The sequence below is a fragment of the Homo sapiens genome, chromosome 16 (genome assembly GCF_000001405.40).
Source record: "Homo sapiens chromosome 16, GRCh38.p14 Primary Assembly".
Lineage (NCBI taxonomy): Eukaryota > Metazoa > Chordata > Mammalia > Primates > Hominidae > Homo > Homo sapiens.
In genome coordinates, this window is record NC_000016.10 from 24,179,456 (window position 1) to 24,206,707 (window position 27,252).

The 27,252-nt window shown below is 43.7% G+C and overlaps 1 protein-coding gene and 1 non-coding gene across 4 annotated transcripts in view; both read left to right on the forward strand.

Annotated features, from left to right (window-relative positions):
- PRKCB (protein kinase C beta) overlaps positions 1 to 27,252 on the forward strand; it is a 384,629-nt gene that overhangs the window by 343,473 nt on the left and 13,904 nt on the right. For all 3 annotated transcript variants that reach the window (NM_002738.7, NM_212535.3, XM_047434365.1), the window contains 4 exons: positions 1,335 to 1,473; positions 5,656 to 5,736; positions 6,005 to 6,112; positions 11,635 to 11,775. In NM_002738.7, the coding sequence (NP_002729.2) occupies positions 1,335 to 1,473; positions 5,656 to 5,736; positions 6,005 to 6,112; positions 11,635 to 11,775 (469 nt within the window). The remainder of the gene's footprint in view (positions 1 to 1,334; positions 1,474 to 5,655; positions 5,737 to 6,004; positions 6,113 to 11,634; positions 11,776 to 27,252) is intronic.
- MIR1273H (microRNA 1273h) lies at positions 23,661 to 23,776 on the forward strand. The gene has a single exon (NR_106996.1). It is a non-coding gene; the product is annotated as a microRNA 1273h (primary transcript).

The following is a 27,252-nucleotide window of genomic DNA, read 5'->3' on the forward strand; positions in this document are numbered from 1 at the left end:
AATCGGATTTCCCCATCTTCTATTAGGACCGATCCATCTCTCAGCCTTGCTCACTGGTGCAGAAATATAAAGCATTGACATTGGAGTAGGTGTTTAGGGAGGAGGAAAGTGTGTTGATATTGGAGCAATCTTGTGTGCTAAAGACCTACAACTGTTCCCCAAAATATCAAGCTCTTCTCATCAACACAGATGAAAATAAAAGAGAATACAGCACATATCCTTTAGGTTAGAGCTCAGATGTCACCGCCTTAGACAGGTCTTTTCTGACTGACACCCTGCTTAAAGTGACTTCCTCCAATCACTATCTTATGTCCTCTTTATTTTCATCATACCACTTATCAGAATCTGTAATAATCATGCTTACAGAGTAATTGTTATCTTTTTCCCAGCACTGAAATTTAATCTGAAGAACAGGAGGCTTGCTTATCTTGTTTACTGCTACATACTATACCTGGCTCCAGGCATAGTGCCTGTCACATAGTAATTGTGCAACATTTTTTTTTTTTCAAGACGGAGTCTCGCTCTGTCACCCAGGCTGGAGTGCAGTGGCGTGATCTCGGCTCACTGCAACCTCTGCCTCCCAGGTTCAAGCTATTCTCCTGCCTCAGCTTCCCGAGTAGCTGGGACTACAGGCGCCCACGACCACGCCCAGCTAATTTTTGTATTTTTACTAGAGACGGGGTTTCACCATATTGGCCAGGCTGGTCTTGAGCTCCTGACCTTGTGATCCACCTGCCTTGGCCTCCCGAAGTGCTGGAATCGCAGGCGTGAGCCAATGTGCCCTGCCAAATGTATTTTGATTCAAAGAATTGATGGAAACTCCTGGGTCATGTCCTAGAAGGTGGCCCAAGAGATCAGGGAACACTTAGCATTAAATATTTCTTTCAATCAGCTTCTTTTTTTCTTTGTAATTTTTAGAGATATTTTAAAAAATAATAATTTTCTGAAAAATGTATCTTCTTACAAAATATAAGGAGTCTTTAAGTGGCAAAGGAAAATTCTTGGAATTTTCCTGGATCCAAGAAGCGTCATGGATGCTCTGCCCTTTGCTTAACTTTCTGTGGATCTCCGTCTTTTCAGAAGTGCTGTCTCTTTGTGTCCTTGTGAGACACTTGGCACAGTTGGCTGTGTAGAAAAAGAAAAGCACGGAGGCTTGCGGACCTCTTTTTATCTCCCTGCCAGACTGTAAGCTGTTGGAGGTCAAAGGCTGGTTTCTACTGACCTTTGTGCCCACACAACACCTAACACAGTGTTTTATGCATAATGAGTGGCTGTTGGTTGGCTTGAAATGCATAGCGTTTAATTAAATCTCTAAATTCTTGTGTCTGCCATAGTGACCTAAAACTTGACAACGTGATGCTCGATTCTGAGGGACACATCAAGATTGCCGATTTTGGCATGTGTAAGGAAAACATCTGGGATGGGGTGACAACCAAGACATTCTGTGGCACTCCAGACTACATCGCCCCCGAGGTGAGAGCTGCTGGGCACACGTTCACATTGCGGTGATGTACCCTCTGCTCCCCAGATGGCTGTGTGAGAGCTGGGAAGGGTTGAGGGTGGTACCTTGCAAGGGAACCTCGGACAGATTCTTATTCTATACTCTAAATCCTCCCTTTGAGATCACACATGCAAATTAATTTAGCACACATCCAGAAGCCCAAGCCCAAAATACATCAAGGTTTGGGAGAAAATTTAAATAAAACCCAAAAGAACCATCCAACACACATCAGTAAAATTCTTCGTCAAACTGTTGTGGCTCACGGCCATGTGATACCGCCTAATTATGACATTGAAATGTTTGTTGAGAGAAAAAGAGCATATCCCCTGGGCTGGCATATGACATGGGATCTGTGTCCTGTATATGTCCCTCAGCAGGAAAATGGACAATAGCCCGTGATTTATTTATAGCATGAAATACTACCAGGCACCAATTCAGAAGAGTGAGTTAGATATATATGTAGATGTGAAAAGATCTTCAAGACACATTGTTAGAGAAAAAAATCAAGGTACAGAATGACAAATACAAGGCCAGGTGTGGCAGCTCGCGCCTGTAATCCCAGCACTTTGGGAGGCAGAGGCAGGTGGATCACTTGAGCCCAGGAGTTCCAGACCAGCCTGGCCAACATGGCGAGACCTCGTCTCTACAAAAAATACAAAAATTAGCCGGGTGTGGTGGCACATGCCTGTAGTCCCAGCTACTTGGGAGGCTGAGGTAAGAGAATCACCTGAGCCCCAGGAGGTCCAGGCTGCAGTGAGCCGTGATTATGCCACTGCACTCCAGCCTGCCTGGGTGACACAGTAAGACCCTGTCTCAAAAAAAAAAAAAAAAAAAAGAAGAAGAATGACAAATAACACTATGATACTATTTATGGATGAAACAGAAATACACAGAACACTGTTCTGTTTTCAATGAGTAAAAGCATACAAAAATCTGGAAGATTTCAAACTGATTTTATAACACTGGTTACCTCTGAGGATAAGGGAATTGTAAAGAGAAATTTAGCTATTTCTGTATACTGCTGACATTTTTTACAAGGTAAATGTATTTGGGTATTACTTGAGTAATAAAGTAATTCTTTAAAAATAATAAGGCTTTACTCGGACCCAGTGAAGTTTTCCCTATGTGATATGCTTTGGTCTATTATCATTTTGTTAATTAATTAGATAGGACACAATCCATAACACAACTTCCTGATAGGCCAGGGGTTCCATAATCTCTGGTTCTCAACTCTAACTGCAGTTTAGAGTCGTGAGGGAGCTTTTACAATGTAGGATGCAGCTGGGGCATGGTGGCTCACTCCTGTAATCTCAGCACTTTGGGAGCCTGAGGCAAGAAGATCGCTTGAGGGTAGAAGTTTGAGACCAGACTGGACAACATAGTGAGACCCTAATCTCTACAAAAAAAATTAAAAATTCGCCAGGTGCACTAGGTCACCCCTGCTGTCCTGACTACTCAGGAGGCTAAGGTGGGAGGATCACTTGAGCCCAGCAGGTAGAGGCTGCAGTAAGCAGTGATCATGCCACTGCACCCCACCCTGGGCGACTGAGCGAGACTCTGTCTCAAAAAAAGAAAGAAAGAAAGAAAGAAAGTGTTTCCACACTTTTAAAGTACTTCAAGTCTTATTTGATCCTCATGACAAGCCAACAAGTTAATCCTTTTACAAAGGAAACTAGAGCCTGGGATGTGACAGCAGTTGCCGAAGGTGATGTGGTTAGCTCATGACAAAGCCTGACCTGCTGCTTATCCCTCCCATCTGTGGGCTGGAGGGGAGGCAACTTCACCAGCCACACAGTTGAGGGTTTCTTGTGCTTGCCTGAATCACGACCAGCGAGGAACTTCTGAGAACCACAGATCCTGGGCCTCCACCTGCAGAGATTCTAATGGGATGATGCTTGGGCATCCCACATTGTTTCTTGTGTGTGTGTGTGTGTGTGTGTGTGTGTTTGAGACAGGGTCTCACTCTGTCTACTCACTGCAAGCTCTGCCTCCTGGATTCATGCCATTCTCCTGCCTCAGCCTCCCGAGTAGCTGGGACTACAGGTGCCCATCACCACGCCCAGCTAATTTTTTTTGTATTTTTTTAGTAGAGACGGGGTTTCACCGTGTTAGCCAGGATGGTCGCGATCTCCTGACCTCGTGATCCGCCCGCCTCGGCCTCCCAAAGTGGAAAACACGTTCAATGAGAAGTGTTCTCCTGGAATGCTTTCCCTTCCTTGTCTTGAGGGTTACTTCTCAGAATGCATTTCATTCATTCATAATTGACCAGTAAAATTGTATACATTTATCATGTGCAACATGTTGTTCTGAAATATGCATACATTGTGGAATGGCTAAGTTGAGTTAATTAACATATTTATTGTCTCACATACTTATTTTTTTATGGTAAAAACACTTAAAAATCCCTCTTAGCAATTTTCAAGAATACAATAGATTGTTATTAACTATGGTTACTGTGTTACACGATAAGTCTCTTGAATTTATTCCTGCTACTTAACTGAAATTTTGTATCCTGTAATCAACATCTCTGCATTTCTGATTTTGGAATAGAAATCAAAGTGGGAGATAGAGATCAAGAAACAAACATTCACTTTATAGCCAAGTTTGCTCAAATACCCTTTTTGAGTTAAACAAGCAATAACTGAATTATAAAACATTCTAGGATTAGTTAACATTTTGAGGGCATAATATGTGAAAGCCACCGAGTATCTCATTCATCCTCACATAACTTCATGATATAGAGATTATAGAAGTTAAGTAACTTCTCCTGTGGTCAGACAGCCAACCGGTAGACAGCAGTCAGGATTCAAAGTCAGACTGCCTAACCCTCAGACCTCAGCCTTTAGCCTTTGCTGTATTACCTCTTAACCTCTGACATGGTTAGTTTTACATCCCTGCATACTGAAAGATGGACAATCACATAGCTCTTCTAGACTTTTCCATGTTCTTGCAGTTTGGGAATATGAATTAAAAACTTCACAACCATATATACCATATGATACACCAATTCTACATCTAGGAGTTTATCTTAAGGAAATACTTGGACAGATGTCCAAATGTCTAATTACAAGAATATATGTTACAGCATTGGAAGAAACCTAATCAACTGGAAATTTATAAGATAGATTTTGGTATATCCATTCAACGGAATGCTATGCACAGATAAAAATTGATTATGTTCATATACAAATATTAAATTAGCAAGGAAAACTTAAGTGAATAACTGGCTTTATTAAAGATCTATTGCCCATAATCCCAGTGCTTTGGGAGGCCAAGATGGGAGCTTTGCTTGAGTTTGAGATCAGTCTGGGCAATATAGAGAGACCCCATCCCTACAAAAAATTAAATAATTAGCATGGTGGTGAGCACCTGTAGTCCCAACTACACAGGAGGCTGAGGTGCGAGGATTGCTTGAGCCCAGGAGGCCAAGGCTGTGAGCTGTGAGCTATGATCTCACCACTGCACTCCAGCCTGGGTGACAAAAAGAGACACTATCTCAAAAAAAAAAGAAAAGAAAAAAAGAAAAAAAATCGTCCAAATACTAAAGTGTTTATGTAAAGCACACACATACACACAGAGTTTAATATGTATTCAGAGAAAAGAGTATGGAATGAAGTAGACCAAATATTAGTCATAATTTTTCTCTTAATAAAGGATTATGGGTGATTTTCATGTTATTATCTCAGCTGAGCTATCTTTTATAAAGAAATATTAAAATAGTGACAAATGTTGTTATCTCTTAAACGTTTTTATGTTTAATTATGTTTTAAAAACATGTAACGTAAAATTTACTATTTTAACCAGTTCTAAGTATACAATTTAGTAGTGTTAAGTATATTTACATTATTGTGTAAATGTTGTAACTTTTACAGAGGAGTAAAGACAGTTTTTCCTTTTAAAAATTCCATGCTCACTGTTTTGAAAATAATAATAACAATACACCTTACTTAGTGCTTCGAAAAGGCAATGTGACAGCCACAGGTGTTTGCCCAGCTGCAGGTGCCTCTGCAAAGCATGTCTGTCATTCCCTGAATAGCTAATATAAAGAAACAGTTCAGGTGGGCACTGGCCTTCTTGTAAAAGAAGAGTGAAATCTGTCTCCAGAAGAAACATGAACTGCAAACCTCCCTGATAGGGTGCCTTCTCTTTTCTAGATAATTGCTTATCAGCCCTATGGGAAGTCCGTGGATTGGTGGGCATTTGGAGTCCTGCTGTATGAAATGTTGGCTGGGCAGGTAATTGAATTTTAAGTGATCGATAAGAGAAGTCCTCCCTACCCCCATCCACATGGTTTCTTTAGGAGAATGCATGTTTGGTAACAGCTCATAAATTGGAACCTCTATGACTTTCCCGGCCTTGGGGTCATACAAGTCTGTGGTCATTTGAAAGCCTGGGTGTGTGGCTTCACTGTGGGCCCCAGGGAGGAGGGTCTGCCAGTTGAGGGGAGCTAGGGGGAGGGTTCAAGCAGGGATTCTTCTCCTCCCACCCTCCCCTGTCATACAGGCACCCTTTGAAGGGGAGGATGAAGATGAACTCTTCCAATCCATCATGGAACACAACGTAGCCTATCCCAAGTCTATGTCCAAGGAAGCTGTGGCCATCTGCAAAGGGGTAAGTGCATCTCTTAAAGCTGTGACCAGGACCACCACATAAAGGCATGTGGGCTGTACCTTGCCCAAGAACACCCCACCAGGGGGGAACACAGCCTGAACTCCACCCTTCACTCCATTTGCCAATATGAGAACCCTGATGTGGAGCTGCTACCTCCCGGAGGAGAGAGAGCTTTTTTTCTGATTTGCACAGAAGTGCTGTAGAGAGCTGCCTGCAGCTGCGTCTTGCTGCTGGCTGGGCTGCAGTCTCTGAACCAGCACAGGGGAATGCTTATTGAATGAATGAGGTAGAAAGCACAGAGATTTTGTCAAAGAGCTGGAAGTCATGGGAAAGGGCACAAGAGGTCTTTTGCACAACTCAGGCTATCTTGCCCTGCTCTGCTGTATGTGTTTAGTTAATACTAAGAGCGTGCAACTTTTGTTCTAAAAAATACCACGCCGTGTTGAGGTTAAGGAATTCTCTAGATAAGCAGACTGAAATTCAATGTACTCAAAATCCCACTGTCTCCTCTCCCCAGACACACACACAAATGGCTAAAAGGGCATGCACGCTTGGACATCTACGGTTTATGCACAGGGCACCTGTGAAGAAAGCAGGATGTGTGTTTATGGGGAAGGATTGTTTGTTTTGCATCTTGTGTTGGACCAGGGCATACTCACAGTGACTTCTGTGAGATCCTAAAGATCAGCGACCCTCACCTTTGGAGCCATCAGAATAACCCGAAGTGCCTTACCAGAATGCACATGCTTCTGCCTTACCCCAGAGATTAAGTCTGGGTATGAGTATTTTGGAAAAGTCTCCATTTGGCTTGCAGACCACTGCCTTTAAAAATACTGTCCAAATGAAGTGATTTTTCAACTCTGATGGAAGCCTGAAAGCAATAGAATTAGACGCCCAGAAAATATGTTCTACACATAATATACTAATAAAGGATTTGCTCTCCCTCCACCCAGTGGTACAGGTTAGAACATGGCCGTGCCTTAATCAGTGGGTTCCCACCTGTGTGTCTGAATAAACCAGGGCTGCCAGTCCTAGATCTGTGGGATGCTTGCAGACTTTTCATGCCCTACTTTGTTCTTCCTGACCCCAGCCAGATGCTGGATGCACTGTCTTGGGTGAAGGAAAGCTGGGAAACTCAGGCAGGCCAATCTGAGGCTTGGCCCAGTTTGGAATAGCTGGGCCAGCCTCTCAGCCTAAAAGCGCCTTGTCACACTGCCTAAATTCCCACTCTCAATGAATCACCTAAGGTTTGCACCTCAGCTGCATAGGCTAAGATGCATGTATCCCTGGGGAAACCACCTGTGAATTAGTCTCAATCCCGAACATCTAAAGTGAATTGCTTGAAAATATTTTCTTTGAGGGTGTGAGGCAGGGAGAAAGAAAGTGAAGAATAGAGAGGGGAGTCCCAGAGGTGCATTAGGAACCCAAGCAAAGCCCATAAAGAAAAAAAAGGCACACACGAAGGCCTCCACAGGCCCCCGTAGACAAGTTATTGAAGGGTGGGGGCGGGTAGAGAGAAGGTGGTACCTGGAGCTTTTAGTTTGTTTAATAATTACCAGCATATAAGGATCCAGAGATTTCTCAAAAACATTCAGCTTTCAGGTTTCTCTTGAAAAATCAGATCTTGCCACATTGGCCTGTCATTCTTACAAAGCACCAGTCAGCTGGATTGGAAACCATGGCCCTCTGTAGTTGGAGCTTGCCCTCTGTAATTCTCAGACGTTCTCATTTGGCCAATTCTCTCCAAGTTCAAATCCTGGTTCAGGCATTAATTGCCGCAGGACCTTGGGGAAGTTGTTTGACGGCATCTGCAGATTGGGGATAATAATAGCACTCCACATTGGGTTCTTTGATGACTAAACAGCTGAATACTGTAAATCACTTAGAATAGAGGCTGGCACTCTGCTCCAAGCCCCTTGGAAGTTATTATTACTATTACTAGTGCTGACGCTATTGTGTTATCTGCCAGGTTCCTCTTGGCATTTGAGTTTGCATCCCCTGGAATTGCAACTTTTAAAGTAGGGGATTTTGGAGATCAAGGGACCCTTTGCAAATCTTGACCCTTCTACTTTCTAGGCACAAGGTGTTTTTGTTTTGTTTTGTTTTGTTTTGTTTTGTTTTGTTTTGTTTTATCAATGTCTCGCTCTGTCGCCCAGGCTAGAGTGCCGTGGAGTGATCATGGCTCACTGCAGCCTTGATCTCCCAGGCTCAAGGGATCCTCCTGCCTCTGCCTCCCAAAGTGCTGGGATTACAGGCATGGGCCACTGCACCCAGCCTAGGTGCAAGATCTTAAGCCACTTCCTTTGCATCTCTGGGCTTCTGTTTATTTTAAAAAATGGAATAGTAGTACTCATTGAAAAGAGTTTTTGAGAGCATTAAATGAGATAACATAAGAGAAAGCTCCTTGCATGATGTGGGCACATAGTAGGTGTTTAATACATCCACAGGGTCCTCCCCTTCACACGCCCGCCCTGCCTGGACAGCTGGGGGTTCTAAATGGGTCATGGAGGAAAGAGCATTTTCCAGGTCAGCTGCCTTCAGCTCCTGCTCCAATTAGCAGTTTCCCTGGTAGAGCCGTTTTCTATTAATTCAGGACCCATAACCTTCATGATTAACTGGGGTGACTCTCTTACTATTGAGTTTGGGGACCATTATTAATTGAGTGGGCTGAGTCCAATGGGGCTCTTCCTTCAAGGAGGGTACTCCAAAAACGAGTGATGCTCAAGCAAACAGCCAAATGCTTCCTCTGGAACAGCGAGCCCCAGGGGATACGTCTGGGAGGTGATCAGAGATTGGAACAGTGATTAAATCCAGCTGTCTACATGGCTTCGGGCACATTAGAGCAGAGTGCGGGAACTGGGCAGAGACTCCGAATTAATGCTGGATGTTTTTGCAGTACCTTTTCTTTGCTTGGCATCCTCCTGCTTAGACAGAAATTCAGTTGAGCTTTTGAAAACAGTCACCTGTTTAATTGAAGCAGTGTCCTTTATATGTCCATTCCCTTAAAGGCCCGATTTTCTACTAAAAAAAAAAAATTAGTAAAACCTTACTCAGATGGCTATTCCCACTTTGAACAAACTTGAAGCAAACAGAAGCCCAAATAGACAGGACCTTAGGGTGAAAACCAGCAGACACTGAACAGCTGAGACTGAACATAAAGCTATAAGAGTCCTGAGCCAGGCAGAGCTGTTCAAAGCCTTGCCCTGCTCCTTAGCTGTTTGACCTTAGGCAGATGACTTTACTTCTCTGCACCCACATCCTTTACCTGGAAAATGGGGGATAATAGTTGCTGAGGCCTTAGAGTATTGTTGCAAAGTTTAAAGAGTAATGGGTAATGGCCGGGAAGCCTTTAGCACGGAGCCTGAACGCATATGATGTTGTCATACTCAGTACACGGAAGCCGTTATTGATGTTATTATCAGTGTGAACCAAAACCTCACTGCCCTTTCTTTCCTCCCATCCTAATCTTACACAAATGTCAAGCCTTGGCTCAATTTCCTCACCCTCCATAAACCTCTCCTGACAAAGCCAGGCCACAAAAATTCCTGAGAAAACCACGTGTGAAATGCACTCCCATTTTTCTTAAAAGCCCAAGTTTTAGAGCTAGGCAGAGGTGGAGTCTGCACCCAGCTCTTACTGACTCTACCACTTCCTCTCTGGAGTCCTTACTGTTCCTCAACTTCTCTGAGTGTTCATTGCCTTTTTATTCAAATGGGAAAAATAGTATACTCACCTCATTGGGTTATTATGATGATCAGGGAAGCTCATGCATGTAAATAAAGAAGTAGCAGCTCGGCGCGGTGGCTCTTGCCTGTAATCCCAGCACTTTGGGAGGCTGAGGCAGGCAGATCATGAGGTCAGGAGATCGAGACCATCCTGGCTAACATGGTGAAACCCCGTCTCTACTAAAAATACAAGAAAATTATTAGCTGGGCATGGTGGTGGGCGCCTGTAATCCCAGCTACTCGGGAGGCTGAGGCAGGAGAATGGCGTGAACCCGGGAGGTGGAGCTTGCAGTGACCCGAGATCGCGCCTCTGCACTCCAGCCTGGGTGACAGAGTGAGACTCCGTCTCAAAAAAAAAAAAAAAAAAAAAGAAGTAGCTAGCTTAGAATGTAAGTGCTCAGTTAATTTCCCCACCCTGGAGGATACACTTTATATGACAAGTACATGCTTGTGTGTGAGACCACAAATTATCTTGCGAGGGGGCAACAGGCTGAGTGACTGTCCAACAGTGTAGGAATGAATTTCTGGGTTCATTCCTTCCCCATCATCAGCAAGTCCTGGGCAGAAGATTCTGCCATCATGGGCTTCTCAATGTGATGTCAACTCTGGAAAGCTTTTGGACTTGTATGCTTCTTTCTTTTTTTTTAATTAATCACCAACTCTTCTGTCTTTACTCCCTGTGCATTTGCTCAAGTCTTGAGATCAGAGATATTTTCATGCTGCTTTGGACTCATTTACAAGAGGAAGCCTGTCTGGTTTCATCTTGGCGCATCTATTCATCTTGTTATTTAGCACTCAGAGACCCAAAGATGGAGGGTTTTGATAATTAAGTAATTTAAACGGAACACCAAAGAAACCTCAGCGGCTTTGTGTGTAATGTATGATACAAGGGAAATGAGCTGGGCTAGGTTTTGACTATTTAATGGGCTTTCAGAAAGTAATTACTTGAAACTTGGGCCCCTTTGACTAATACTTTTTCTTCTGTTTTGTCATTTTTGCAAGTGCTTTACTGAGAAATGCAAATGGTATCTGAATGAATGTAGCCTTTGCTTTTGTCAAACTCCAGTTTTCTTGTTGTGGGAGGAGGGAAGTTTGAAGATATTGAAACTGTCCTAATTAAATGCACTGGTAATTGCACAAAACTTATTCTTAAACCAAAATGGATAAATGGATCATGTGGCATTTATTTTTTTCTTTCTGTTTTTTTTTTTTTGGTTGTTTTTTTGGTTTTGTTTTTTTTTTTTGAGATGGAGTCTCTCTCTGTCGCCAGACTGTAGAGTGCAGTGGCGCGATCTCAGCTCACTGCAACCTCCGCTTCCCGGGTTCAACAATTCTCCTGCCTCAGCCTCCCAAGTAGCTGGGACTACAGGTGTGTGCCACCATACCCAGCTAATTTTTGTATTTTTAGTAGAGACAGGGTTTCACCATGTTGGCCAGGATGGTCTCAATCTCTTGACCTTGTGATTCGCCCGCCTAGGCCTCCCAAAGTGCTGGGATTACAGGTGTGAGCCACTGTGCCTGGCCCTCATGTGGCATTTCTAACTTGAAGTTCACGGCCACATTCAGGCTTCGTTTTGATTAACCATAACAGATGATTGGCAGTGGGTCCTATTATCAGGTCCTCTCCTGCAAATTCCTGGCTGGGATTTTTTGCTGGGATAAAAAGCAAAAAACAAAAATGAGTTGAGATTCTTCATTTGCGCTTTCTTTCCTAATGCATTGGAGTAATAATTTCTGAGTGTCTTACATTTCCTCTTCTGAAACTCAGCAAATTCAATGTTTTTCTTTCTCTCGAAGCTGATGACCAAACACCCAGGCAAACGTCTGGGTTGTGGACCTGAAGGCGAACGTGATATCAAAGAGCATGCATTTTTCCGGTATATTGATTGGGAGAAACTTGAACGCAAAGAGATCCAGCCCCCTTATAAGCCAAAAGCTGTAAGTAGCCCATTCTCTCTGACTGCCGGGTATTCACACACAAGGTATTCTTGCCTGTGCCTCATGTTTTCCAAATGCTCCCTGAGGGGTAGACGTCAATGTGTCTACTGGAACATGGGTGTATGTATTCACACATATGCACAAAATCACTGGTTACTAAGATGGACATTTTCCATTGGCCCAGCTTAGTCTCTATAAAGATGGAAACGACGATGCCTATTGAATTTTTGTTTCTTCGATTCAATTATTGTAACTGTCTTAGCTGACAACTTTCTGAGAATGGTTCTTGGGTGAGCAGAGTTCAGATCCATTTTTGGACTGTGATAAAGGATCTAATTTTGCCCTCATTCTTTCTCTTGGTTCAACTGTGTCATTTTTTCTTCATACTGACATTGAAAAGGTCATGTTGTTTATCTCAACAGTATTTAAATTTAATTCTGAAACATACACTATGTCTGAGTCAGTAAATAAGATGGCAGTTCAGCAGCCAGCTCCCACCCAAGGCAAAACAGAGTGAAGCAGAGACTGAAGTCCTCTTGAACTGAAGACCCCCTCCGGGAGGGTTTGGGTGTGGAGATGGCTTTGACATAAGTTTTATAATGCAAGAATAAAACTCTCACATTTCCCACAGTCCATGTACCAACAGGAAGGTTTTCTATCCCCAAAGACTCAGCAGGAAGTACTTGTCGGCATCAGGAAAGAAGAGTTTACACCTGAATTAATCAAACTGTTATTCTGCTGGGAGGATATTTCCTTGTGAAATTAAATAGAGGGCAGACTTGGTGACTCAATGATGGGTTGTAAAACTACTGACTGAGGCTGAAGAGTGAACATAAACACCATCATTGAAACCTAACGTTGTAAGGGTTTGAGTGTTAAGATGAAGAAGATAATAATGGTAGTTATTTTGATACTAGTATTGTTATTCATTTCTTGAGCACTTACGTGCTAGGCACGTAATGATAATAGTTTTGACATCAGAGGGTTGTTATGATGCATAAAGCACTTTGTACAAGCCTGGTACAGAGGAGGCACTCACAGAGAGCTGATCATGGTTTTCGTTAGCTGTGTCATACATTAATTAATGTCCCGGTGTAGAGTCTTTGAGGGGCAGAATCCTGCTGCTGCTATTCCTTAAGATAACATCTGTGTGTACATTGGGGTCGAAGAGGGCCCCACATGTCATGAGCAGCATCACAGCTTTTATGGGACCATTTGGAAAAAGATGAAAAGGTAACCTGGAAAGGAAGAGTGAGCTCTTTGTTCAGGAAACAGGGAACTCAGAGGTGAGATGCATAACTCATATGGTTTTTGTGGGGTTATTTATGAGATCTTGAAATGTGGACCTCCCTTTCCTCTCTTGGCCAGATGCACACGCTCCCATCCCCACCAGCATAGAACCCAGCGGACATCTGGGGGTCATGTTATAGCTGTAGTGCAGTGGTTTGCAAAGTGTGCTGTCTATCAGTATGCAGTATCAGTATGCAGTGTCAGAGCCAGCGGTATTGACATCTCCTGAGCACTTTAGGAATGAAGTTCTTGGTCTCCACCCCAGACCTCCTGAATCAGACACTCTAGGTGTGGGGCCCAGTGTTCTGTGTTTAATAGGCTCTCCAGGTGACTTGATGAGCTCTCAAGGTTGAGAATCACTGCTGTGGAGTTTGGCATTAGGAGCTCAGCCAGGGAAGCTAGGCAGAGACCAGAGGGAGGTAGCATGGAGAATCATCTCCTTTTTTTTCTTTTTTTAAAGACAGGGTCTTCTTCTGTTACCCAGGTTGGAGTGCAGTAGCGCGATCATAGCTTACTGCAACCTCGACCTCCAGGGCTCATGCGATGCTCTCACCTCAGCCTCCTGAGTAGCTGGGACTACAGGAGTGTACCACCATGTCTGCCTAATTTTTTATTTTTATTTTTAAATAAATGGGGTCTTGGCCGGGTGCGGTGCCTCACGCCTATAATCTCAGCACTTTGGGAAGCCGAGGTGGGTGGATCACCTGAGCTCAGGAGTTCGAGATCAGCCTGGCCAACGTGGTAAAACCCCATCTCTACTAAAAAAGTACAAAAAATAGCTAGGTGTGATGGTGGGTGCCTATAATCCCAGCTATTTGTGAGGCTGAGGCAGGAGAATCACTTGAACCGAGGAGGTGGAGGTTGCAGTGAGCTGAGATTGCGCCACTGCACTCCAGCCTGGGCGACAGAGTGAGACTCCATCTCAAATAAATAAATAAATAAATAAATAAATAAATAAATAAATAAATAAATAAATAAATGTGGTCTTGCCATGTTGCCCAGGCTAGTCTCAAATTCCTGGGCTCAAGTGATCCTCCAAAAACCTCAGCCTCCCAAAGTACTAGGATTACAGGTGTGAGCCACTGCACCCAGCCAAGAGAATCATCTCTTTAAGTGGAAGACACTGGTCCTCCTTCTAGTCAGGGCATGGGGTGATGGCTTCCAGAAGAGGTCACAGACTCAGATGCCTACAGAGGCCAAGCAGATAATATGAATGAGGGAAGAGGGCTGGTGAGATAGAAGAGAAAGTGTTGGAGATCGATGCAAGCCAGAGAGCAGGTGATCTACCTAACAGGCTCAGCTGATGTTCACCTCCCGATGGCCTGCCCCGCAGGATGCAGCCTCCTCAGGGCTGCTCCATCTTCATGGTATTTGGGGCTAGAACTCGGTGCTGTGGGATGCAGCAGACCTGTGAGTTGATTGACAGATCCTGTTACAGTCAGTGTAGTATGTAGGCCCTGTGTAGTAAGGGCTTAGTGAAAGGGTGTATAAAGTTAAGATGTTTATATAAAATCTCACAATTTTGGCTGGGTATAGTGGCTCACACCCGTAATCCCAGCACTTTGGGAGGCTGAGCCGGGCAGATCACCTGAGGTCAGGAGTTCGAGACCAGCCTGGCCAACATAGTGAAACCCCATCTGTACTAAAAATACAAAAATTAGCTAGATGCGATGGCATGCACCTGTAGTCCCAACTACTTGGGAGGCTGAGGATAGAGAATCGCTTGAACCTGGAGGCAGAGGTTGCAGTGAGCTGAGATTGTGCCATTGCACTCTAGCCTGGGTGACAGAGCAAGACTCCGTCTCAAAAACAAACAAACAAACAAAAAAACAAAAAACAACAAAAAAAAAACCTCACAATTTCTTTTATATATCAGAACAAATTTTTGAAAATTAAACACAGTTTGGGGCAAATAAAACACACCCACACCCATATGTATCCCATGCATTGTTGGTTTATAGCCTCAGGGGTAGTGATGGTTCAAAGTCAGGTTGCTATTTAGCCAGCATCTGTTAGCAATGGTTATTTACAACCAGAGTCCATTTTGACCGGTTAAATATTTTGAATAGCCCTGCTAAGCAGTAATGAATATAAGAGGTCTAGCCTCGTGCCTGGCTCATAGAAAGCACTCAGGAAAAGGTAGCTGTTATTATCATTGATAATATAAAAAGATTACAATACTTAGTCATTATCAACGAGATCCCTCAACTGTTCTGCATTTGATATGATTTCCCACTGACCTGTGTCTTGAATTCCTCCATGTGGGTTTAACAATGACTTTCAAAGTACAGTGATCAGGCTGTGCTACATACTTCAAAGTGTTCTGGTACCAGCTCTAAAGGAGCAGGTGCTACCTTCAGTCTCCTTAGACTGAATTAGAAATAATAATAAATGATACATTATCCAGGTACAGTGGCTCATGCCTGTAATCCCCACACTTTGGAAGGCTGAGGCAGGCAAATTGCTTGAGCCCAGGAATTTGAGACCAGTCTGGGCAACATGGCAAAACCCCGTCTCTACAAAAAATACAAACGTTGGTGGGCGTGATAGCATCCACCTGTAGTCCCAGCTACTCAGGAGGCTGAGGTGGGAGGATCTTGATCCTGGGAGGTTGAGGCTGCAGTGAGCCATGATCATGCCACTGCACTCTAGCCTGGGCAACAGAGCAAGACCCTGTCTCAGAAAAAAAAAAAAAGATACATCACCTACCCATTTGATCCAGCCTGCCTGTATGCCTTTTACATTGCAAATGCATTGCATGAGAGCCCTCCTCCCCCCAATCCCAGGATTTTATATTTCTCCTTCCTCACCCCTTCTTAACTGTCTGCCACTTCCAAAAGGCCCATGGTGAGCGTGTGCAGAGTTCCATGTGCCTTGTGGGATGTGAAAAGGCATGCATGTATCTGTCAGCGTTTCTGATTCATGCATGCTATTAAATAGAGTGTGGTGAGAGAAAAAACAAGGAACAATAACAGAGGATTATGTTCAAACATCAGTGAAGGGTGCTATTATTGGAGGTTCATTAAAATAACTTTAAATGGGTTTTTCTAAGTTGTTCTCAATGCCATCTTTTATTGTGGCAAGGAGCTGTTCACAGAGCATTGTTTGAAACTGTATTGAAATACACTAGATTTGGTGTATTGTTGCAGGGAACAAGAGTCATTTCTTTTTTAATGTTCGCCTGGTTGTGTGTTGCTTTTGCTTTAAAACACCCAAATGGCTCTCTGTTGCCCCAGTCTCGTATCTATTGCTCCTTGGCATATATGGCTTTTGAGGTCTTCCAGTGCTAGATCTCTGTCCTCTTCCTAGCTTTAGCTCCTGACTCCAAGAACAGCATTCCTGGGCTTCTTTCAGTCCCTCAAACATGCAGTGCCTTGTTTTCCCTTGCCTGCTTCATCTGTGCAGAGCCATGCACCTGGGATGCCCGAAGCCCTTTCCTATGCTCTCACCAGCCCCCTGATCCCCACCGTGCCTTGCCTTTTCCCCCTCATCAAATCAGTAGAACATCAACCGCTCAGGGAGGCTCTTGTTGATTCCTGAGTAGATATCTGCTACTGTCCCATCAAGAAATTCATCACAGGCTGTAATAACATGTTCAATCTCATGCCTGTCTTTTTGACTACTTTAAGATTGTGACTTTCTCTGTGTCAAATCCCAGTGCCTAGCATAGGGTTTAGCACATTATAGGTGCTCAGGAATTCTTACTGAATGAGTGAATGGCCATAGAACAAGATGCTGTAACACAGTGTGCTGTGGAACATAAAGGAGTCTTTTGGGATATATATTAGAGTGCATGGTGTTTTTCTTATGTACAGCAGGGTATCGCAAATAAATTGGTTGTTGTGTAAGTTACTACCCTATTTATAAAGGACTATAATTTGGCTGCTGATTTTGCAAACTGTCATGGCATCGTGTGGTTTTGCAGTGTGTGCTGGGAGAGGGTGCTGGTGAAGGATCTGAAGAGGCAATGCATTGAATCACAGGACTTTGGGTAGAGAGATCTGCAGCTTCCTGCAGCCTAACCTTGCACAGTCCAATCCAGTGTTACAGATGCCATGATGTAGCCCTGCAGAGTGTCTTAAATTTTAATGTGCATGCACGAGTCACCTGGGTATCTGGCTAAAATTCTTACTCAGCCAGTCTGCGGTGGGGTTTCAGATTCTGCATTTCTCACAAGCTCCCAGGGGATAGGACACTGTGGGGCCAGGGACTCCACCTTTATGTAGCAGGGGCTAGAACTCAGTGCTGCAGGGTGCAGCAGGCCTGTGAGTTGATTGGCAGAACCTGTTGTAGCAGTGCAGTAGGTAGACCCTGTGTAGTAAGGACTGTAGTGAAGGGGTATATACAGTTAAGTATAGAATGTTCTGGTGAAGTTATTGTTCAGGGCACACAGCAGGCTGTTGCTGGCCAGCATGTGGTAGGAGGAAGGTGGTGGTTTGGGTACTAAAGGGCAGACTCTGTCGCTGAGTGCATGATGGAGCAGTGGCTTGGGAAGAAGCGTGTGCTGGTTCTGTCCTCTGGTGGGGATGTTGTCAGATATTGAGTTATCCATTCAGTGGGTGATGAGGTTAGGTAATGTTCTAGGTGATGGAAACATAGCACTAAAAATAATTAACATCCCTGCCTTCATGGAGCTTATATTCTAGGGAGAGTGGGCAAAATAATAAACATAGAAACAAGTAAAATATACGATGTGTCAGAAGTTGATAAACATTATGCAGGAAGCTGAAGTAGGGATGGAGATTGGAAGAGCCAGGTCAGGGAGATGTCCTTATGATAGAGTAGGTGGAGAAAATGACGTTTCAGCAAATACAGGAAGAAGATGAGGGAGGTGGGAGCCATGTATATATCTGGGTGAGGGGGGAGAGTGATTTGGTTGGTAGTAGCAGATGCAAAGGCCCTGAGGCAGGAGCTTGCCTGGCATGGTCAAGGGAGAGCAAGGAGTGCAGGTGCCTGAGCCAAGGGGTTGAGGGAGAAAGGAAAAGGGGGTGTGAGATCAGAGAGGCCAAAGGAAAGCACAGGCCACTGAAGGATCTTTGGCTTTTACACCAACTCATGAGCCAAGAAATAACATGTTCTGACTTTGGGTTTTTAAAGGATCCCTCTGAGTGCTGCAGGGACAAGGGTGAAATCAGGGAGACTGGTTGAGACTCTTGCCATAATCCAGGCAAAAGGTGATAGGAGCTTGGGCAGGTTGGGGCTGTTTGAGAACCCCCAAGTTGGCATCCTCAGGTCCTCCCCAGTTCCTGGCATCTTGTAGGCACTCAGTCATTGTCTCATGGAGACATGAAGGCGCTGATGAACATGAGTCCCTGCAGACTGCCCACATGATTGCTCCTCAAGTATAAAACATGGTAGCCAAGAGTTTGGTCCCAGTAGCAATAGGATGAATGAATGAAATAGATGGTCAGGAAAGCTTCTGTGATACAGAGCGCTGGCTTGCAGGGCATAGAGCAGGAGGACATGGTTGTGCTCTTGGTTGGACTTCCTCCTGTCCATCCTGTTGCAAAGAATGTAGTGATATCGGAGGGTGCAGTGGCTGAGGGCTGTACCCAGGGAGTTGCTTTGTGTCTGGGTGATCCAGCTCAGAATTTTGCTGACTTGTAGCAAAAGGTGCATTGAGCCTTTGGCATGGATGAGCATATTTTATTGCAGAAGTGGTAGTACATGGAGCTATAATGTCACAGGACAAGATATGCTAGGTAATATGTTCACATTGAAATGCCTAATGGAGAGTTTGGTGGCATTCATGTATTGTCACGAATTGGCTTAATGAAGTCCTGTCACTCTTCCTCTGAAAGGCTCCCATAGTGTCCATAACACCTAATGAAGGGCTTACTGTGAAAACTGGGTAGGGGGATGAGCCCAGGGTACAAGGATTCAGCCGCCTCAGAAGACAACCCAGGTAGCAGCATAGAAGCAGTGAGGTGAAGAGGAAGAGAAAGCTAAGTAGGCTTCATTAGAGTCCTTGGAGTCTTTTCTGCTTTTTATTTATTTGTTTTTTCATTGTTTTTAATTAATTGCCCAGGCTGGTGTCAAAATCCTGGCCTCAAGTGATCCTCCCACCTCTGCCTCTGAAAGTGCTGGGGGTTACAGGCGTGAGCCACTGTGCCTGGCACCTGTGGAGTCTTAAGCGCTAAAGTGTGTGTACAATGATCTGCCCAGTAGTAAACATGGCTCTAGTATTCTTTTAAAATATTATCAATCAGATCATCAATTGTTCTAAAATATGGTCAACCAGATTGTCAAGTGTTCTAAAATATGATGCATCTGATCGTCAATGCTCTCTGGGCAGGGCTTGAGGAGTACAACCTGATGAGAAGCAGACGTTAAGATCCCCTTTCCTCCACTCCTGACATTGGAGCAACCATCCAGTCCTGTCTAGACATCACTACAATGCTCATTCCCTCCTTCCTTCCATTCTAGCCTGTGTCAGGCCTCACTAACTCCAAACCCACTTGTATGACAGACTGATTCCAATCATTTCTGCTCTTGTTACCGATTCTTATCTGCACTTTACTTAAAGCCCCATAATTTTGAGGCATCTGGACAGTAGGAAAGGCTGAAAACCTGGCAAGCTTTTATAGCTTGCAAAGGTCCTTGTCCTATGCTCTGTTAGTATCATTTCCAAAATACTACTTGGGCTATCTGATCACATCCCATTGCCCGTATCCTCTGAGAGTCTAAATGCTGAACTGCTTCAGAAACTAAATCATACTCACAGGACTTGGTTTCTCAGCAATTTTATCATCTGAAAACATTGTTTATGTAGCTGAGGTCAAAAGCTTCAAGTACTGCTTTAATGAGCTGCGAATCTGTTCATGTGACATTCTCTTCCAAACCCAATTGCCCTTTACACTGTATGAGTAAGTGCCTCTGTGTGTGTGTGTCTGAATGTGTGTGTTTGATGTGCTGACATTTCTGAATTGAATCCAGAAAGTGTAACCTTTGTATGTTTGCTGTTAAAACTCCAAATTCAAGCCTTAAGAAAAGGATCTAACACTTACTCAATGTGATTTATTTAAGCACAGAACCTAACTCCCCCAAAGTATCAAATACTCAAGAGAACAATTCATTTTTGAAAATTGTGATTTAAAATAATTCTCATAAAACCTTTACTGTTCAAATATATTAGAAAATATATTGCATTTTTGTCTGCATCAGGCACTGTTTTAACTGCCTTCCATGAATTGCCTCATTTAATTCTCTCAACCCTGTAAGGTAGGGTTATCACCACAGTATAGATGAGGAACTAGAGCTTGGAAAAGTTAAGGCATTTGCCCAAGGTCCAGCAACTAGAAAGCAGAGGAGCCAGGACTTGATCCCTGGACTGTACACTGCACAAGACCCTTGTAAAGATTATTAGAAGCACTTGGAGCCCCTGGTAAGGTTTGTGATTGTGCTACCAGGAGAGTCATGATAACACCATCGAATGGTGTCTGTTACATAATAGAAAAAGACTGAGTATTCTTACAATTCAAATGATTTAAATTTATTTTAAAATATTGCAACAAATAAGTAGCATCTTCACAGCTTTTATAATTCGTTGTCAGGATTTTAAAAGATGCAAATCTTATTTGTTCCTTAGGGCTTTGATTTTGAGGCTGACAAAGACGGCATGCATTGACTAACCTCTGAAAGAAGGGCATGGCAGCATTGAAATGAGGCAGCCGAGACAGGCTCATTAAGGAGTAGAGGTTTCCCTGCTCATTTCTGGTTGTTCTTTTGGGGTATCCACTGTGTGGAGTTTGCAGAGATCTTAATAAAAATATCAACCTACATTTATATACTGACAAACAAATAGCCAAGAGCCATTTAGGACACACAGCTTGGAGTCTGTTTATCTCTCTCCACCTATCTACACACCCATGGAGAACCCATTTAAACTTCAGATCAAACCAGGCTCCCTTTAGATGGTTGGAATTGTCAGGTTCCTGAGCCAGGTGAAGTTCCTAAATCAGTTTCTGTCTTAGTCCATGTTGTGTTGCTATGACTGAATACCACAGACTAGATAATTTATAAAGAAAAGAAATTTATTTCTTACAGTTCTGGAGGCTGGGAAGTCCAAGGGTGAGGGGCTTGCATCTGGTGAGAGACTTCTTGCTGTGTCATCCCATGGCAGAAGGTGAAGGGCAAGAGAGAGTATGCGTGCATGTGTGTGCATATATATGCATATGCATACATGTGTGTGCACATGCAGGGGAAAGATACGGAGCCAAACTCATCCCTTTTATTAGGATCCCACTACCAAGATAATGTTGTTAAGTTCTCATGAGGTGCCACCTCTCAACACTGTTGCATTGGAGATTCAGTTTCTAACACATGAACTTTGGCGGGGCAAGTCAACCATAGAACCTACCAGATACATGACTTTGAGTCATGTACTATTATATTATTATTTATTATTATTATTGTTATTTTGATACTGGTCCATGGCCCAGGGATTGGGGATCCCTGCCCTAAATCGTGAGGAAGATTGAGGCCCATGGGTGCCACTGGTTGGTAGCCGTCAGCTTCTTACCACCTACCGGCACCTCCATAGTCATCTTGACCTCCTTGCCCAGCTTCCATCTCTGTCTTAGCAAATATGTTTTCCCTCCCCCAACTCATGTGAGACTTACCCTCACTCCTGCTCTGGACTCCAGCCTCTTGATCCTTCATGCTTATCTCCCCTGTTTAGTCTGTCTACAGCTTCTCTCTGTATCAACAAAACTCCTATGGTTTCAAATAGGAATCTGATTTAAACTGACTTTTAAGCAAAAAATAATGATAGTTAGTATTCAGATGTAGATGGATCATCTACATCTGGTCCCAAACAATGCCAGCAGGGAAACATTTATCTATATCCCTTAGGATTACTTTCCCCACTGTGTTGACTTCATTCTTCATTCTCAGAAGGCTTTCTTGGGCACATAGCAACTCCCAATTTATGTCCCATTATCTCTGCAACTTCTACCAAAGAAAAGGGCTTCCTTTTTATAAAATCCCAGCAGCCTAGGACTCAATCTTTTTGGAAGATTATTGGGTCATATGCCCATCTCTAAGGGAATTGCTCACTGCACCAGGGGGATGGAATGTGCTGATTGACCGGGCCTGGGTCACCAGCCCCTCTTAGCCAGAGAGCTGGATCTAATCCAGACATTTTGAAAAAAGAGAAGGAATGTCCTATCTAAATCAGACATTTTGAAAGAAGAGAAGGAATATCTCCTTTAAGAAAAAAAAGCCACTGTCATGGCCGGGTGTGGTGGCTCACGCCTATAATCCCAGCACTTTGGGAGGCTGAGGCGGGTGGATCATGAGGTCAGGAGATCGAGACCATCTTGGCTAACACGGTGAAACCCCATCTCCACTAAAAAATACAAAAAATTAGCTGGGCGCGGTGGCGGGCACCTGTAGTCCCAGCTACTCGGGAGGCTGAGGCAGGAGAATGGCGTGAACCCAGGAGGCGGAGCTTGCAGTGAGCTGAGATAGCGCCACTGCAGTCCAGCCTGGGCAAAAGAGCGAGACTCCGTCTCAAAAAAAAAAAAAAAGAAAAAAAGAAAAATAAAGCCACTGTCACTAGAAGAAAAGACAATGCCTGCTGGCTGGGCAAAAACAGCAGCTGTCCTTTCTGACTCTATCCTGGCCTTCTCCTTTGTGCATAAACCTGCTATGTCTTTTTCATGTTAAAAATCCCCTACCTCAAACCTGGGAATCCTCCTTACTACTACTCTTACTACTGCTATGATTACTACCCTACCTTACTTTGCATACAAACACACTTTTGAAAGAGTTGCCAGTTCCTGCTATTTCCACTTGATGACAATTTATTGTTTCCTCAGTTTGGTGCAATCTGGCTTCTGCTCCCGCCATCCTATTGATATTTTTCTCATTGAGTCATCAATGACCTGAAAACTGCCTCTTCTCATAAGCTTGTCTCATCTTTCTTGACCTCACCATATTATTAGGTGCTCTAATCCTTTCTCCTTTAAAAAAATGTGAAAAAATAAAATATTCAAGCAGCATCAGAAGCTACAAAGTGAAATTAAGATTCCCCTCACCCATGGCTCCTAGCTAGGCTTCCTGGTTCTCCTTCCCAGAGACACCCATTGCAACCAGGTTCTTGTGTGACCTTCTAGAGAAGATGTGTTCAGGCCCAGAAATAGTCTACATCACACACAAGGATGTTAGCATGCTGTGTACAATTTCTGTATCTTGCATTATTCCCCTCTGTCTTGGAGATTGTTTCTTATCTGCTTATCTAACTCTACATCACCCTTTGAATAACTTCCTAGTTTCCTATATAAGTGAGTTTATCTGTAGGAAAAGTTCAGAGTGCCTTCTTTCTTTTTAAGCCCCTCTTCTCCTTCATTTTTATGACATTGTGTGTCTGTCTTAGTCTGTTTTGTGCTGCTATAAGAATACCTGAAACTGGGGCCTGGTGCAGTGGCTCATGCCTGTAATTCCAGCACTTTGGGAGGTTAACATGGGCAGATCACTTGAGCTTGAGCCCAGGAGTTTGAGACCAGCTTGGGGAACATGGCAAAATCTGTCTTTACACACACAAAAATTACAAAAATCAACCAGGTGGGGTGGCACATGCCTGTAGTCCCAGCTACTTGGGTGACTAAGGCAGGATTGCTTGAGCCTGGGAGGTCAAGGCTGCAGTGTCGTGGTCACAGCTTGCTGCAGACTCGACCTCCCAGGCTTAAGCAATCCTCCTGCTCGAGTGACAGAGTGAGACCCTGTCTCAAAAAAAAAAAAGTGGATAACTTACAATGAAAAGAAATTTATTTGGCTCATGGTTCTGGAGGGTGGGAAGTACAAGATCAGGGGCTGTATCTGGGGAGGACCTTCTTGCTGCATAGTAACCTGATAGAAGGCATCACATGGCAAGAGAACACATGAGGGAGGGTAACTTACTTTTTAAATAAATTCACTCCCACAATAATAACATCAATCCAGTCACCTCCAAAAGTTCCCACCTCTCAACACTGTTGCATTGGGGATTAAGTGTCCAGCACAAGAACTTTGGGAGAACACATTCAAACCATATCACCACATTTGCTGATGTTCTTCCTACCTTCACAGCCACTCCCAATAGAAATTCCAACTCCACAAAGACTTCCAGTGACAGTTGAATTTGGAGGGTTGAGACCAGCTCATGACCCAGAAAGGAAAACAGAAAGCTTACTTTTTGTTTTGTTACAAGTGCAGTCTCTTAAAAATAACCACAAAATGCCCCCCCAAATGGCATATGGAAAACAGCACAGAGATGGTGTGTTAATCTACCTGAAATGTCTTTCTAAGGAAGTGAGGCTTGGATGGGAACGGAAATGCATCCCTTTTTCTTCCCAGGGTACACGTCTTTTTCTCACTTCCTCTAACTGGGAGCCCCAGGGCCTGGCTTTGTCTTGTAGCTTCCTGCCGTGATGCACCAGGCTAAGTGGGAAGGTTTCTGTTCTATGTCTAAAGTAGCACTGGCAGGTCCTCATTCTGCTTGTAATTGGGATGGGAATATGGGTAGGAATTTAGGGTTTGGCAGAGCGTACAGGACCTCTTTCAAGCCAGAGCACAGCCCTGTCAGACTTACTCACTGGACATGAATGGGTCAGTCAGCCCTCAGCAGTAACCACCAGCTACCATGTTAAGTATTTGATGTGAATTTTATCAAGTCATTCTCGCCACACCCTACAAGAAACTTGAGCTTAGGGGACTTAGCTAACTTGCTTGAAGGTTGTATAGCTGGGAATTGTTGGAGCCAGGATTGGTACCCAGGTTAGCTTAACTTTTAAGTCCGTGCCACACAATCAGATACATAGTATGAGGCAATGGGATGTAATGGAAAGCCCATGGGCTTTGGAATTGAACAGATGGGCTCTGGATCTTGGCTCTCCTACTTGACCCTATATGACCCTGAACAAACTGTTAACTCTTAAAATTATCTGTTAAGTAGAGATAATCCTTTTCCTGCCTATCTCACAGCCTTGTGGGAATCAAAGCTATAAAAAGATAGGCAAATAGAAGGGATAATTACTATTTGAGGGTGAGTTTACTTGAAGCCAACAATGTGGGTTTAGGATGAATGGTGAAGAATAGATAAGAAAAAAAATGATATTCTGTTGACATGGGAAGATGTTTAGAGTGTATTTCATCTAGTTTCTTTTAAAAAGCAAGCAAAAGAACAGAGTCATGATTCCACCTTTGTCTAAAAACTAAAAAACATCCATTCATCTATTCATCCAGCCATCTAGGATACAAACCAAGATGTTAACATAATACAGAGATTTGGGGTGGCGGGATTAAGAAGGATTCTTTTGTGTGTTTTAAAATTTTTTATGGCCAGGCACAGAGGCTCATGCCTGTAATCCTAGCACTTTGGGAGGCCAAGGCGTGCAGATCACGAGGTCAGGAGTTCGAGACCAGCCTAGCCAACATAGTGAAACCCCGTCTCTACTAAAAATACAAAAATTAGCTGGGCATGGTGATGGGTGCCTGTAGTCCCAGCTACTTGGGAGGCTGAGGCAGGAGAATCGCTTGAACCCGGGAGGTGGAGGTTGCAGTGAGCCGAGATCGTGCCACTGCACACCAGCCTGGGCGACAAAGTGAGACTTCATCTCAAAAAAAAAATTATTATTATAATTCCTTTTTTTTTTTTTTTTTTTTTTAGAGACAGGGTCTTACTCTGTTACCCAGGCTGAAGTGAAGTGGAACAGTCATAGCTCACTGCAGCCTCCAGTTCCTGGGCTCAAGGGATTCCCCGTGCCTCAGCCTCTTGAACAGCTGGGACCACAGGCATGCACCACCATGCCTGGCCAATTTTTAAAAAATTCTTTGTAGAGACAGGTTCTCTCTATGTTGCCCAGGCTGGTCTCAAACTCCTGATCTCAAGTGATCCTTCCACCTGGGCCTCCCAAAGTGCTGGTATTATAGGCATGGCACCACCATGCCTGGCATCTTGGTGCTTTTTAATAGCTTGTTTGTTTCTGCGATAAATGTAGGAGACTGATAGAAGAGTCTGGATCTCTTGTCAAATCTAGGATCAAATCGTGGTCAGATACTTAAACTAAACCCATTTTCTCATTGCACAGCAAGGACTTCATAGAGCTTTTGGGGGGATTAAAGGAGGTAAAGCTTGCAAAACACTTAACACAGTATCTGGCTCATAGTTAGTGCTTAACATACACTATTATTTGTCCATTTGATTTTTTTTCATCCCTGGGTTCTAGAAACGCAGTGGTGAATAAAACAGATGTGATTTTGCTCTCATGTGGCTTACAGTCTAGATGAGAACATAGACAATCAACAGAGAATGAACATGTATTAATAATTATAGACTGAGATATACCAGATTTTATTTCTGTTAAAGAAATGAACAGGATATCTTGACAGAGAATAACAGGAGGGAAGAATGAGAATCCTCTTTATTTGAAGGTGGTCTGGAACAGCTTCTCTGACAGGGTGCCATTTAAACTGAGATCTGGAGGAAATCAAAACACTGGATGTTATTTTTTAATGAAAATTAAGAAAAGCAAGAGCAAAACAAAACAGACTTAGTATCAAACACAAAAGACCCCTCTCCTACTGACTTCCTCCCTAAATAAACATAAGAGATAAAAGATCCCTGATTGTAAGGGACCTTCATTATTAGCAGAAAAAGGAGACTTAAATCTCTCTTTTTTTCTGCCAAAACCCAGACCACAAATGACTTTTTAAAATGATCAAATATGTATGCAGCTTTGAGCATCTGATTCTCCCTGGAGTGGGTCCCTCCTGTATTCGGCTGTGGGAAACTGGAAGGCATAGGAACGACCCTGCATTTCACTGGATGTGCACATGTGAAAAAGAAAGATGCGCTTGTCTTTTTGCCTAGGCTATGTAGCTTGGATGTCTTTTCATCGTGACCTTCTGGTCTTGTTAACCTGAAGGTGTCCTGGTGTCTTGATGGAGGCTGGGCAGGTAGCTCCCCTGAGCCACTAGCCTCATGTTATCAAAGTCGGCTAGGCAACAGACAGCAGGGAGGAGCCTTATCCTCTCCTCCACCATCTTACCTTGTCCATGCCCTCTTTTTACCTCCATTTCTTCTCCAGGCTCTTTCCTTTCCTCCTCCAAAGAAGCAATGTCTCTCTTGCAGGTCCCACTCAAGTGAGATGTCACTCCCTCCAGACAGAGTTCCTGGCCCTTCTTGGGTTCCTTTCCTCTGTGCTC